Source organism: Homo sapiens, chromosome 5 (assembly GCF_000001405.40).
Source record: "Homo sapiens chromosome 5, GRCh38.p14 Primary Assembly".
NCBI lineage: Eukaryota > Metazoa > Chordata > Mammalia > Primates > Hominidae > Homo > Homo sapiens.
In genome coordinates this window covers 171,496,822-171,510,776 of record NC_000005.10, presented here as the reverse complement: position 1 = coordinate 171,510,776, position 13,955 = coordinate 171,496,822, and the positions used below count along the sequence as shown (strand labels likewise).

Sequence of the window (13,955 nt, the reverse complement as noted above, 5' to 3'; positions counted from 1 at the left end):
CACCTGTAATCCTAGCACTTTGGGAGGCCAAGGCAGGCAGATCACGATGTCAGGAGTTCGAGACCAGCCTAGCCAACATGGTGAAACCCCGTCTGTACTAAAAACAGAAAAATTAACTGGTTATGGTGGCGCGCATCTGTAATCCCAGCTACTCGGGAGGCTGAGGCAGGAGAATTGCTTAAACCTGGGAGGCGGAGGTTGCAGTGAGCCAAGATCGCGCCATTACACTCCAGCCTGGTTGACAAGAGCAAGACTCTGTCTCAAAAAAAAAAAAGTTCAAAGTTTAAATGTTTATCATCATTACAAACCAGAATGTTTAAATTCACAATACAAACTTTATCAATCTTGAGTGTTTTTGTATTATTTACATGATAACTTTTAGAGGACTTTTATATGGCTTCATAGAATATTACATTTGTTTCAATATAAAAATGTTCGCTGGCTCACGCCTTTAATCCCAGCACTTTGGGAGGCCAAGGTGGGCAGATCACCTGAGGTCGGGAGTTCAAGACCATCCTGACCCTGTCTCTACTAAAAATACAAAAAATTAGCCTAGTGTGGTGGCACATGCCTATTATCCCAGTTACTCGGGAGGCTGAGGCAGGAGAATCACCTGAACCCGGGAGACTGCAGTGAGCCGAGATTGCGCCATTGCACTCCAGCCTGGGCAACAGGAGTGAAACTGCATCTCAAAAAAAAAAAAAAAAAAAAGTTGGCTTTTCCTCAAAATTCTCAAGTAATATTGGCACTTAGGGAGATTCCTCATATCTACTTGTGACATTGTGTACTCCCTCCGATGCTATCAGGCATCCAGTTTGAGAAGCACAGCTCTGGGCAATGAGGAGAAACTGAAGTGGTTTAACCCAGGGAATGATATATGTTCTGATTAATGTTTCTAGAAGTGAAGGCCATTTGGAACAAGGTAGGTGTGATGGAAATGGAAAGAGGTCTATAGATGTGGGTGGCATTGTTAAAGTGGCACTGGCAGGACGTAATGACAGAAAGAAGATGATGGGGTCAAGGAAGACTCCTGTGTCTGGCTTGAGAGAATGGATAAGTGGAGATACCATTGCCCGAGAACAAGGGAGGAGAAGGGGAAGCAGTGGGCAGTTCACTGCGCATGCCCCGCAGCAGTGGGCATGCGGGGTTGGCAGTTCCTGTGGGATCCCTAGGGAGACATTCAGCAGGTGGGGGACATGAGCGGCTGGAGTTTAAGGAATAGAGAACTGAGGGTAGTCTTCAGTTAGTAGGAAAGCATAGTTGACAATCCTATTGGAATTGAGGGGCCTCAGGGCCATAAACGAGCTTGTGTAGGGGGAGCAGGGAGGGCCCTCTAAGCTGCTCCCTCTTTCTCCGGGGCTCATGGAGGGTTCACAGGAGCAGGCGAGCCCCATAAGTTCCTGTCTTGCACAGATGGGCAAAGGGGTCATCTCAGGCTCCAGCTAAGGGGTGGGCCCCAGAGCTCCAGCTGGAAACCCCATTTGGGGCTGCAGGGTGTGTGTTAAACTGCTCCCTGGGTGGCTCAGGCCAGAGCAGGGCAGCTCAGAGAACAAACTGTTGTCTCTGCCATAAATCCCGTCGGCCATAAAGTCCCTTCCCCCGTGACCCCTTGGTTGGTGTGAGAAACTGAGGTCAGGGCAGGGCAGGGTGATGACCTCCTGACTCTGGGGCCACTGGCCTCCCAGCCCACCGTACTGTTACTTTCAGGGCCTCGCAAGCCCGTTCAGGGACCCAACACTGAGAGACATGGCTCCGGCCTCGAGTCAGAGCCCTTGTTCCAAACCCAACAATGCCCTGGTTTCCCCTTCCACTGCTAGCCCCCTCTGCCCCTGTCTGTATCTTGGTTTCTTCATTAGCAAACTGTGTTGAGAATCCCTGCTTTGCCTCTGGAGGGAACTCTGGGGCTAAAAGGAAAAGCACAATTTAGCATCAGAGACCTGAAGAATGTACTTGAGCATGCCCCACCAACTTCATCTCTCTGCACCTCAGTTTCCTCACCTATACAACTGGGATCATGGGCCAGGTGCGGTGGCTCACGCCTGTAATCTCAGCGCTTTGGGAGGCCGAGGCGGGTGGATCTCCTGAGGTCGGGAGTTCGAGACCAGCCTGACCCACATGGAGAAACCCCATCTGTACTAAAAATACAAAATTAGCCGGGCGTGGTGGCACATGCCTGGAATCCCAGCTATTATGGAGGCTGAGGCAGGAGAATTGCTTGAACCTGGGAGGCGGAGGTTGTGGTGAGCTGAGATCGTGCCATTGCGCTCCAGCCTGGGCAACAAGAGTGAAACAGCATCTCAAAAAAAAATAAAAACTGGGATCGTGATAATCCCAACTGCCTCAAAAGGTTGTGTGAATGAGAGTGAGTACTGAATGAGGTGCAAGTATAGTATCAATGCACTCTAGTAAAGCTGTTTGAAATGAAGCGTATGCATTGCCCTTTGCAAAATGTTTAAGGGATGCTAAGGGGGTCAGATGACACTTAGATGACTAGGGAAAATGTGACCAACAATGATTTTATGAATTGCCTGGGAAATGACATAATTTTTTCAATTGCACTTAATTTTCCTAAGATTTTTCTTCAAGACCAAAGCACTCATTTCCCAGCTGCCTGGAGTATTACCTGATGATGGCACATAGCAGAGTTGTTTCCAGGAATTGCCTTCAGCTAAGGTGAGCTGCCTCCTTCAAGGCTACACCCCTCCGCAGGGGCAGCCCGCGTCCAGTGACTGGTCTCCTTGCTTCCATTCAAACAACCTGGAAGTGCCATCCCAGCTCTGGAAACGCTCATGGAATTGGCCAAGGACTTTGTCTCCACTGCGTAGCAGTTCAACGTCTCCCTCCACCTCGTCCTGCTTTCCTCACCCGCTCAGAGGACTCCCCTGCCCTGCTGCAGTGGTACAATTCTTAAAACTTTACCAACCAGGAATTATGATGGGATGCAGGTAGAAGGGAATGTCACACAGATGCAAAGCCTCAGATGTTTCAGAGGTTGGGGAAAATATCTTTACAATGATAATGGAATCAAATGACTGTTGCCAAGTGTCATCAATACAGTGGATAAAGACAATAAAGGGCTGCCAGTGTTTAATTACTAATCGAAGGTGAAGTGTGAAAGCCAGATGTTCTCCTTGGTGACATAAGAAGAGATTCCCATCTCCTGAGCATCAGGTCCAGAGTTCATGAAAAATGAGCTTCAGAGGTTGAATTCTCAACCCCAACAAGTTGGCTATGCCAGAGTCATGGTCCTGCTTGGATGGAGCGGAACTCAGAAGATGGATGTGGGACCATCTGGATGGAGGCACTGAAAACTCTTGAATTCCTGAATTTCCCTGAACCCTATGAGTGTGCAGACATGGCTCACCTGAACTCCCTGTTCAAGGCTGGCATTTCCCTCTTATCTGAAGATGACACAGAGGCCTCTACTTTGAAAGACAGGATCTACCTCATTCAGAATCTACCCTCATCTTCTTCCTGGCTGCCAGACCAATAACTAGGGTTAATCACAACATGACCCAGCCAGAGAATTGGCAGACCTGCTAAAGACAATGCTAGGGGACCACCACAAACTTAACCACGTAGCTCCAGTTGCAGCTGCCATGTTGGATATGGTCTTTTGGCTAGAGCAAATTAGCACCATGACAGGCACTGGGCATGTGGCCACTGGGTTGGCAGATGCATTCATTTCTATCCCTATTAGGAAACAGGACCAAAAAGAGTTTATATTCACAGAGGATGGATAACAATCTTTCTCCAGGACTATGGTAATTCCCCTAACCTCTGTCATAATGCACTACGAAAAGATGTGGGCAATGTAGACATCGTGCAAAATACCACAATAGCCCATGATATTGAAAAGCTACAGCATACTTGGGAAGCTGAGGCAGGATAATCGCTTGAACCCGGGAGGTGAAGGTTGCAGTGAGCCGAAATCTCACCATTGCACTCCAGCCTGGGTGACAGAGTGAGATTCTGTCTAAAAAAAAAAAAAAAAAAAGGCTATAGCATGTTAATTAGACCAAATAAACAAGAAGTGGCAAGTATGTTGGAGACCTTGGAAAGACACATGCTTCACAGAGAATGAGAGAAAAACTTTATGAAGGTTCAGGGGCCTACCATATCAGTGATGTTCCCAAGAGCCCAGAGGCCAGGTCATGCTGGGTCAAACCCCTCTAAAGTAAAAAACAATTTATGGCATCTTACAGCTCCCACCGTGGAGAAGGAAGCACAAGGCCTGGTAAGGCCCTTTGGGTTCCAGAGGTAGCATATTTTCCACTTGGAAATGTGTTCTTTCTGATCCATTTACCAAGTGACATGGAAACAGCCAACTTTGAGTTGGGCTCAGAGCAGGAAAGGGCTCTGCAAGCGGCCCAGGCTGCAGTGCAAGGAGCTCTGCCTTTTGGGCCATATAACCCAGTCTGTGCTATGCTGTTAGAAAGTGTCCATGGTAGGGGCAGTGTGTTGTGGCTCACGCCTGTAATCCCAGCACTTTGGGAGTTAGAGGCAGGTGGGTCACTTGAGGTCAGGAGTTCAAGACCAGCCTGGCCAACATGGTGAAACCCTGTCTCTAGTAATAAAACAAAAAAAATTAGCCAGGCTTGGTGGTGTGTACCTGTTATCTCAGCTGCTCAGGAGGCTGAGGTGGGAGGATTGCTTGAGCCCAGGAGGCAGAGGTTGCAGTGAGCTGAGATCACGCCATTGCACTCCAGCCTGAGCTACAGAGTGAGACTCAGTCTCAAAAAAAAAAAAAAAAAGAAAAGAAAGTGTCCATGGTAGGAAAAACATGCCACATTGTATTTTTTGGGCAAGCCCCAGTAGGACAATTAAAATATGGACTTCTAGAGTTCCAGAGCAAGGGCAAGGACATGCCATCTCCAGCAGGGAATGGCATCTATTTTAAAAAACAGCCCCTGAAGGGCTGCCAGGCCCTGGTAGAGACGGGCACGTCACCAGACGGCAGCAAGTGACTGTGGGAACAGAACTGTCCATCACGAACTGGGTTCTTCAAACCCACCAAGTCACAATGTCAGGAAGCCTGGCAGGAAATGCCACTCCCAGGATTGGATGTGAGCAGAGCCTGAGGGCAAAAGTGATCTGCATGGGCAAGTGGGCCAGACTGCCCCATCGCCCACCACTGCACAGCTCATAGCCAAGCTCCAGTTGCCACTGCCCAGGAGCCGACCAGTTCCGCTAGCCTAACCCAGAGGTGGCAGCAATGGCAAGGCCTGGAAAGAACTTGAGGCAGGGCCAATGGGCAGGCAGGAAAATGAGAATGTGGAATCATTCCCCTTACTTTACCCTTACCATCAGAGGAGGTGAGGGCAGAAAAAGGCTGGTGTTACTCAGCCATCAGCAGAAAGGGTCTTGGGGCCCTGGGGAGAGCACCCTCACCAACCTCCACTGTTGCTCCTTGCTCTGCTCCCTCCTCTGGAAGACGCCAGCCGCAACCAGTGCCTCCAGTCCATCCCACACTGCCTGTTCTGGCAGCCTTTTTAAAGCACAGCCCTGAGCCCTGCCTGACCCAAAACTCAGCCATGGCCCTCGCCACATTCAGGAGGAAGCCCAAGTCCTGTGAAAGGCTGCACAATTCACCATGACCTTGAGCCCTATCTTCTGTTTCAACCCATTTTCCACCACTCTCAGCTCCGTTCCACCCCCAACACACACACCACACAATGCTTGTTTGCTGTGCTACAGCCACTCTAAACTTCTTCAGTTTCCAGAACACACCAGGCATCACTTTCCCTCTCTCTCCAGACATCACTTTCTCTCTCTCTCTCTCCTCTGAGCCTTCACACACGCTGGTCCTTCAGCCTGAAACACTCTTCCTCACCCCTACCTAGCTAACTGCTACTCTTCCTTCAGGGCCCAACCTTAGATTTCATCTCTCTCATGAAGCTTATCCAGGGTCACCAGAGACTGGGTTAAGTGATCCAACCCCTGCAGCCCTTTGTCCCCCCTCAACTCTCCATACCACTTCTTTCTGAATGAATGGAGTAGTTAATACCATTCTCTATTATAATTTAAAACACATAGACATTCAACTTTGCATTAATCAGAGCTCTCTAGAGAAACAGAGCCAATAAGATATCTGTAGATATATAGAAAGATTATTATGAAGGACTGGCTCATGTGACTATAGGGATGGAGAAGTCTCATGATCTGCTGTCGCAAGCCAGAGACCCAGGAAAGCTGGTCATGTAGTTCCAGTCCAAGCCCAAAGGCATGGGAAGCAGAGAAGCAGTAGTGTAAGTCCCCATCTCAGGTCAAAGGTTCAAGAAACAGGGGGACCACTGGTGTAAGTCCTGGTCCAAGTTCAAAGACCCAAGTACCAGATGCACTGATGTCCATGGGCAGAAGAGATGGATGTCTCAGCTCAAGCAGAGGAGGCAGTCTTCGCCCTTCTTCACTTTGTTGTTCTATTCAGAACTTCAACAGATTGGATGATGCTCACTCGCATTGGGGAGGGTGATCTTCTTTACTCAGTCTACTGATTCAAATGCCAGTTTTTTCCAGAACACCCTCCAGACACACCCAGAAATAATGCTTCACCAGTTTTCTGGGCAATACTTAGCCCAGTTAAGTTTACACGTAAAATTAACCATCCCAAACTTCAGCCTCCAAATTCAGCCAAAATCTGCTATTTTGACTTCAACCTTGGCCTGGGCTTTGGAAAGCGAATAGACAAATGCTAATGTCACTGTCATTTCTGGCATTCCTAAGCTGTGGGTGAGAACTGGTCATGTAATCATATAGGTTTCCCATGGTGTCCAATCATTGTAACAATGTCAGCAATACATAGAAGACATGCCATTCAGGCATATTGTTAATTTCTGAATATTTACTTTTAGGGTTTTTAATTTTTTTTTTTTTTTTAGAGTCACCCAGGCTGGAGGGCAGTGGTGCAATCGTAGCTCACTGCAGCCTCAAACTCCTGTGCTCAAGTGATCCTCCCACCTTGGCTTCCCAAAGTGCTGGGATTACAGGCATGAGCCACTGCACCTGGCCCTGAACATTTACTTTTAAACATAGGAAATAATTCTAATTGTAACTTGAAGTGAAAATTGCGTTGTGGGATTTTTTATCTTATCAGGTAGTTAAAGGGTAATGTATCATTGCAAGCATAAAGCCTGCAATAATTAATGACAATTGTGAACACTGTTCATTTTATATACAAAAACAAGCAAAATAAATTGAGTTGTTGGTAGACAACTATCAGTGAGTCTCTTGATTTTCTTTCCTTTTTTTTGAGACAGAGTCTTGCTCTGTCACCCAGGCTGGAGTGCCATGGCATGATCTCAGCTCACTGCATCCTCCGCCTCCTGGGTTCAAGTGATTCTCCTGCCTCAGTAGCTGGGATTACAGGCATGAGCCACCATGCCTGGCTGAGTCTCTTGATTTTCTGCACATCTTGGGAACAGAGGCATTGTCTCTTCAAGTTTGTTTGTATGTTATGAACAGCCCTGGAAGATCACCACAGTATCTCCCTTCAGACCAAAGCATAGGTTTGTCTAATGTCCAATATAACAAAGAAAAAGTCTTCCCTAGGACAAAAGTCAAGTCAGTTTCCTGACCATTATAAAGGATTCGGTTCCCCTAACTCAGGGTCCCTCCTCTGTAACACAAACACACAGCATGTGCAGCCTCCACCTGGACCCCTCCACGTCATCCCCGTCAATGAAGCTCATGCTGCCTACGGTACTGTGAATAAGAATGTCCTTCTCTCGGGTTAATGGGTGCAGCAAACCACCATGGCACGTGTATACCTGTGTAACAAACCTGCACGTTCTGCACATGTATCCCAGAACTTAAACTTTATATATATATATATATATATATATATACACACACACACACACACACTTTTATATATATGTATATATATATACTTTTATATATATGTATATATATAAAAGAATGTCCTTGTCTCTGACCCCGGAATATTGTGTCTTCTGCCAGGATCCATGAAACAATGCAGGCTAACTTGTTAACTTGTATACAAGTAGGATAAAAATCTCAGACCTTTTACAGTTCTTGACAACAGTTTATTTGAATCTTAAGAGAGAGTATGTTCTAGGTCAGGTTTCTTGGGAAAATGGCTCTAAGATTGCAGGACTCCTCTCAGCTATTCAGGCAGAAGAGATGACCCTGGGCCGTCTCCTTGGATCTGGGGAAGAGAGGCAGGTATAAAGCATCAGGCAGTGGGTGAATTCCCAGATGCCGCTGTCTGAACCTGCACTTCTCCTGTTTCCAATCTGCATGCTGACCCTCTCCAAGGAGCGCTGAGATTAAACCCAGCTGAACACCGAGCCCCAGGGATGGGAACTCCACAAGTTCTGCACCCCAGTTAGCAGGCAGACAGGGTTGTCAACTAGAGAGATGGAGGGCTGCCCGGACCAGGGTGCAGACCTCCCCCAACGGCTAAAGACTTTAATCGAGGAATTATACATGTGACTATTTTTAGCCAGGTGAAATCTGTAGAAAGCAGACAGGCTCAAAATGCAGCAAAAACCTGCTTTGAATTTACAGAGCAGACCTCCACGGGAGGGAGGAGGGGTGACTGGGGGACTCTCCAAGAAAAAAAGGTAGAGAGAATTTGATAAAAACATAAAGGAGGGGTGTGGTGGCTCACGCCTGTAATTCCAACACTTTGGGAGGCCCAGGTGGGAGGATCGCTTGAGCTCGGGAGTTCAAGACCAGCCTAGGCAACATAGTGAGACCCTGTCTCAATTTAATTATATAAAATATATCTTTTTAAAAAAAAAAGGTAAGGGAGGACTCATTCCCACAGATACCCACTGTGCATCAGGTATGATGATCAGAGAAATGGCATCTCAGTGTGGCCCAAACTCCAGACCCCATTCCACCACTCCACATGCAAGAACTACCTGTAAATTAGATACCGATTATAAGTGCAAGCTCTGGTCAACATGAATGAAAACAACAATGAATGGAAACACATCAGAGAAGCTGGCAAACTTCCTATAAAGGGCCAGAAAGTAAGTATTTGGGGCTTGTAAGTAAGACTACCCAACTCTGTCATTGTAATGCAAAAGTAGCCAGAGACAATATGTAAATGAATGAGTACAGCTGTGTTCCAATAAAACTTCTTTTTTTTTTTTTTTTGAGACGGAGTCTCACTCTGTTGCCCAGGCTGGAGTGCAATGGCACGATCTCGGCTCACTGCAACCTCTGCCTCCCAGGTTCATGCAATTCTCCTGCCTCAGCCTCCTGAGTAGCTGGGATTGCAGGCGCCCACCACCACACCTAGCTAATTTTTGTGTTTTTTAGTAGAGACGGGGTTTCACCGTGGTGGTCAGGCTGGTCTCGAACTTCTGATCTCGTGATCCACCCTCCTTGGCCCCCCAAAGTGCTGGGATTACAGGCGTGAGCCACCGCACCTGGCCAAAACTTCATTTTTTAAAATGAATATATTTTATTTTGGACTGGATTTGGCCTGTAGGCCCACAGTTTGCCAACCGAAAATGTCAAAGTAAAATTACAAAACACGGTAGCCTGTTTTAAATATTAGCTCTGAACAAATTAAAGGTTTTCAATCCCCATAAAATGTAAGATATCCCCAGGGTAATTTCAGGACTTTTTAAAGATACCAGTCTAGGCTGGGTGGGATGACTCACGCCTGTAATCCCAGCACTTTGGGAGGCAGAGGCGGATGGATCACCTAAGGTCAGGAGCTCAAGACCAGCCTGACCAACATGGTAAAACCCCGTCTCTACTAAAAATACAAAAAAAATAGCCTGGTGGTGGCAAAAAAAATAGGGCGTAGTGGCAGACACCAGTAATCCCAGCTACTTGGGAGGCTGATGCAGGAGAATTGCTTGAACCCAGGAGTCAGAGGTTGCAGTGAGCCGAGATCACACCGTTGCACTCCAGCCTGGCCGACAGAGTGAGACTCTGTCTCAAAAAAACAAAAAATAAAGAAAGATACCAACCCATAGAGCACTACAGTCCAGACAATTTGATAACACGACAAATTTCATCAAGGTGAAATCGCCTACTATGAATTCCATCAAGGTGGTTCTGGGACAGGATATAGGGTGGCCAGATGAAATGTAGGATGACCAGTTAAACTTATTTTAAGATAAACAGTGAATAATGCTTTCATATAAATATATATCATGCAACATTTGGGACATACTTATACTAAAAAATTATTGGATGCTTATCTGACATTTAAGTTTAACCTGATGTCCCATATTTTGAATCTGCTAAATCTGGCAATCCTAAGAGCATGTGTAATCTGAATCGAAGAGGCTGTCGAAAGCCTACATCTACAGTTCTTTGTGATTGCAAGGCCGGGGTCAAATGAAGCTGGTGTCCCGGGACTCCCTACCACCACCCGACAAAGGCCCTAGATCCAAAGTAGAAAAGTCACTGTTCAAGCAGATAGATCCAGGTTCATACGCAAATTGTCTGGTACCTAGTGGGTAGATGAGAAATTGTAGTTGTGGGTTTTATTCATTTGCAGTTTCTTTTGTTGTTGTTGTTTTGTCTTGTTTGTGTTTTGTTTAAGACAGTCTTGCTCTGTCACCCAGGCTGGAGTGCAGTGGTGCGATCTCGACTCACTGCAACCTCCGCCTCCCGGGTTGAAGCGATTCTTCTGCCTCAGCCTCCCGAGTAACTGGGATTACAGGTGCGCACCACTGCACCGGGCTAATTTTTGTATTTTTAGTAGAAACGGGGTTTCACTGTGTTGGCCAGGCTGGTCTCAAATTCCTGACTTCAAGTGATCCACCTGCCTTGGCCTCCCAAAGTGCTGGGATTACAGACATGAGCCACCACGCCCGGCCCATTTGCAGTTTCTTGATGTGTTTTATTCTCCCTTTGTAAACACACTAGTTGCGTGACCTTGGCCAAGTTTTTGAATTTTTCTTGAGCCTTAGTTTCCCTGTCTGTAACACAGGGATAATGCCAGCACCTTCTTCAGGAACTATTGATATGAATTAAATGAGCCGATGTGTGTCAAGTGCTTGGCACTGTGCCTGACAACTAATGTGCTTTCTGTAGATTTTAAAAAAGTCTCTGATAACTAATTCCAGCTTCACATTCAACCTTCTATTAAATCTTCAGAACAACCAGAGAGTAGGTGTTAAGATCCCCTTTGCACAGAGCAGATACACTGAGGCTCTAGAGCTCACTCAGAAGGAAGAAGCAGGAGAGATGGGATTCGAACTGGAAGTCCCGGCCGCTCTTGACTCAACAACCGGCAAGGCTGGGCTGGTTCCACACAGCCGGGATACAAAAGGCAGACTAGGCTGTGGTTCATCCTCCATAGACCTCAGACACAAGTCCCCCCATCTGCTGAGCAAGCTGCCAGTGTCCCAGCAGAAGACACTAGCCTGCAGAACTGGCACATTTTTACCTGGGTCAGGAATATTACCGCGGGCAATCAGTTCCAGGTTGGGCCGCTGGAATCAGACCACCCAGGGGTTTCCCAGCTGCTGCGGGACAGACAGGGAGAGAATTCCTCTGCACCTTCAAGCATCCAGGGGTCTTCAGCCCTGAGGACCTCTCCCACTGCCCTAGATAGAAGCCCTCCCTTAGGCCATTGGGGTCCAGGGCTTTCTAATCTCCGGTTCCCCCAAGCATCTTCCCTACCCACTTCTAGGCTTTACCTGACCCTGTACTTCTCCCTACCAGCCCAGGGCATGTTTAAAATCATCCAATCAATTATGTGTCATGATTTGCTTAGCAACTGTCTTCCCCATTTGGCTGGAAGCTCCATGGGGGCAAGACTTCATCTATCCCACTAAACGTTTGTCGAATGACTAACAGACTGAGGCAACTCACATTTTTCAGGCATCTCTTCTGTCCTAAGCACTTTACCTGCATTTTTGTTGTTGCATTGCCAGGCTAGTTTTGTGAGGTTGAAACTAGCAGTCTCATTTTACAGATAAGAAAACTGAGGTTCAGAGGCAGTCATAAAAAGCTGAGTGACATGGTAGTTAGGAGTGTGCCCTCTGCCACTTGCTGGCTGTGCAACTACAGGCAAATCCCTCATCTGTAAGATGGGAACAGTCACCTTACCACCTCAAATGGCTGCTGGGAGGTTTCAGTCAGAGAAGGATGAAAGGTACTCAGTGATGTCTCAGAAACACAATTAATGCGCTGCAATTGTTAATATTATTACTTTTGCCGAATCAGACAGCTAGTAAGTGCTGGTGCTGGGATATGATTTCACTGTTCACACCACTACAGCAGAGAGAAGCAAGACAAGAAGGGGATGGAGCTGGGGGCCTTGAGATTGCGGTCCTTGCATGGCTTTAGTCAGGCCTGACTGCACACTGAACCTTTTCCTAGAAAGATAGGCCTGGCCTTGCTACCCCTGATGCCACGGGGCCGACAGGGTTGGCAGGCGAGTGGGCTGCAAGCCCCGCCTTTAATTTCATGGCTGAGTTACACCACCACCCAGGCTGGCGTTGGGCACCCTGTGCTAAAGATGGAAATGGGATAAGAGAGAAGAGATAGCCCAAGGCCTGGACTTTTCTGCTTCCAGAATAGCCATTCATCTCTGTTCTTGTCCAAAGCTGGAAAGAGAGCTTTATGGTACCCCTGGGAAAGGGGTAAGATGCAGAGTGGATGAATCCTTACAAGGGAGCCATGGTCGCAGCTGCACCTCCAGCTCAACATGCATCACGAGAGACATTCAGACTCTGGAGCTGGACGTGTCTGAGGCCAGGCCCCAGGCTCACCACGCCTGGATGTGAGGCCTCAGGCAGGCAGCTTTACCCTTTGGGCCTCAGTTTTATCCATAAAGTGGGTAGAAAAAAACACATCATCCTGGATTACTGTGGGGGATAGAATAAAACTAAAACTAACATAAGAAATGCACTTAGGTGAGCGGGGCAGGGGTTAAGGGAGGGGTAGCATTAGGAGAAATACCTAATGTAGATGACGGGTTGATGGGTGCAGCAAACCACCGTGGCATGTATATACCTATGTAACAAACCTGCATGTTCTGCACATGTACCCCAGAACTTAAAGTATAATAAATATTTAAAAAGAAGAAAGAAGAAGAAAAAGAAGGGGAGAAGGAGGAAGAGGAAGAGGAGGAGGAGGAAGAGGAAGAGGAGGAAGAGGAAGAAGAAGAAGAAGGAGAAGGAGAAGGAGAAGGAGAAGAAGAAGGAGAAGAAGAAGAAGAAGGCGGCACTTAGGCTGGGTTAGGTGACTCAGGATGCTAAGGAAAGTGGCCATTGCAGTGACCACATAGCCCCCAGATATGATGGGACCTCCCAACACTTTGGGAGGCTAAGACGGGAGGATTGCTTGAGGCTAAAGTTCGAGAACAGCCTGGGCAACACAGTAAGACCCTATCTCTACAAAAAACATTTTTAATTAGCCAGGTGTGGTGGCGTGTGCCTGTGATTCCAGCTACTCCGGAGGATGAGGCTGGAGAGTTGCTTAAGCCTGGGAGATCGAGTTAACAGTATGTTATGATCATGCTACTGCAGTCCAGCCTGGCTGACAAAGTGAGACCCTGTCTTTAAGTAAACAAACAAACATAAGCAGCTAGGCGTGGTGGCTCATGCCTGTAATCCCAGCACTTTAGGAAGCTGAGGTGGGTGGATCACCTGAGGTCAGGAGTTCGAGACCAGCCTGGCCCAACATGGTGAAACCCTGTCTCTACTACAAATACAAAAAATTAGCCGGGCGTGGCGGCAGATGCCTGTAATCGCAACTACTTGGGAAGCTGAGGCAGGAGAATTGCTTGAACGCAGGGGTGGAGGTTTCAGTGAGCCAAGATTGCGCCATTGTACTCCAGCCTGTACAACAGAGCAAGACTCTGTCTCAAATAATAATAATAAAAAAAATTAACATAAGAAATGCACTTGGCACACAGGAGGGGCTCTGTAAATATCAGGTGGAGTTCGCGCTACCTCCCAGTTCCCCTCTCCCTCTGAGTCTCTCTTCCCAGCTCATTTCAGAGCAAGAGT

At 47.3% G+C, this 13,955-nt stretch overlaps 1 long non-coding RNA gene across 1 annotated transcript in view; it reads right to left on the bottom strand.

The window, feature by feature from the left end:
* Positions 1 to 8,023: 8,023 nt before the first annotated feature.
* The window catches only part of LOC105377720 (uncharacterized), a 7,958-nt gene continuing 2,026 nt past the window's right edge, over positions 8,024 to 13,955 (bottom strand). Inside the window, exons 2-3 of the long non-coding RNA XR_941212.3 lie at positions 8,800 to 8,888; positions 8,024 to 8,167 (exon numbers count right to left, since the gene is read on the bottom strand). This is a non-coding gene — a long non-coding RNA (uncharacterized LOC105377720). The remainder of the gene's footprint in view (positions 8,168 to 8,799; positions 8,889 to 13,955) is intronic.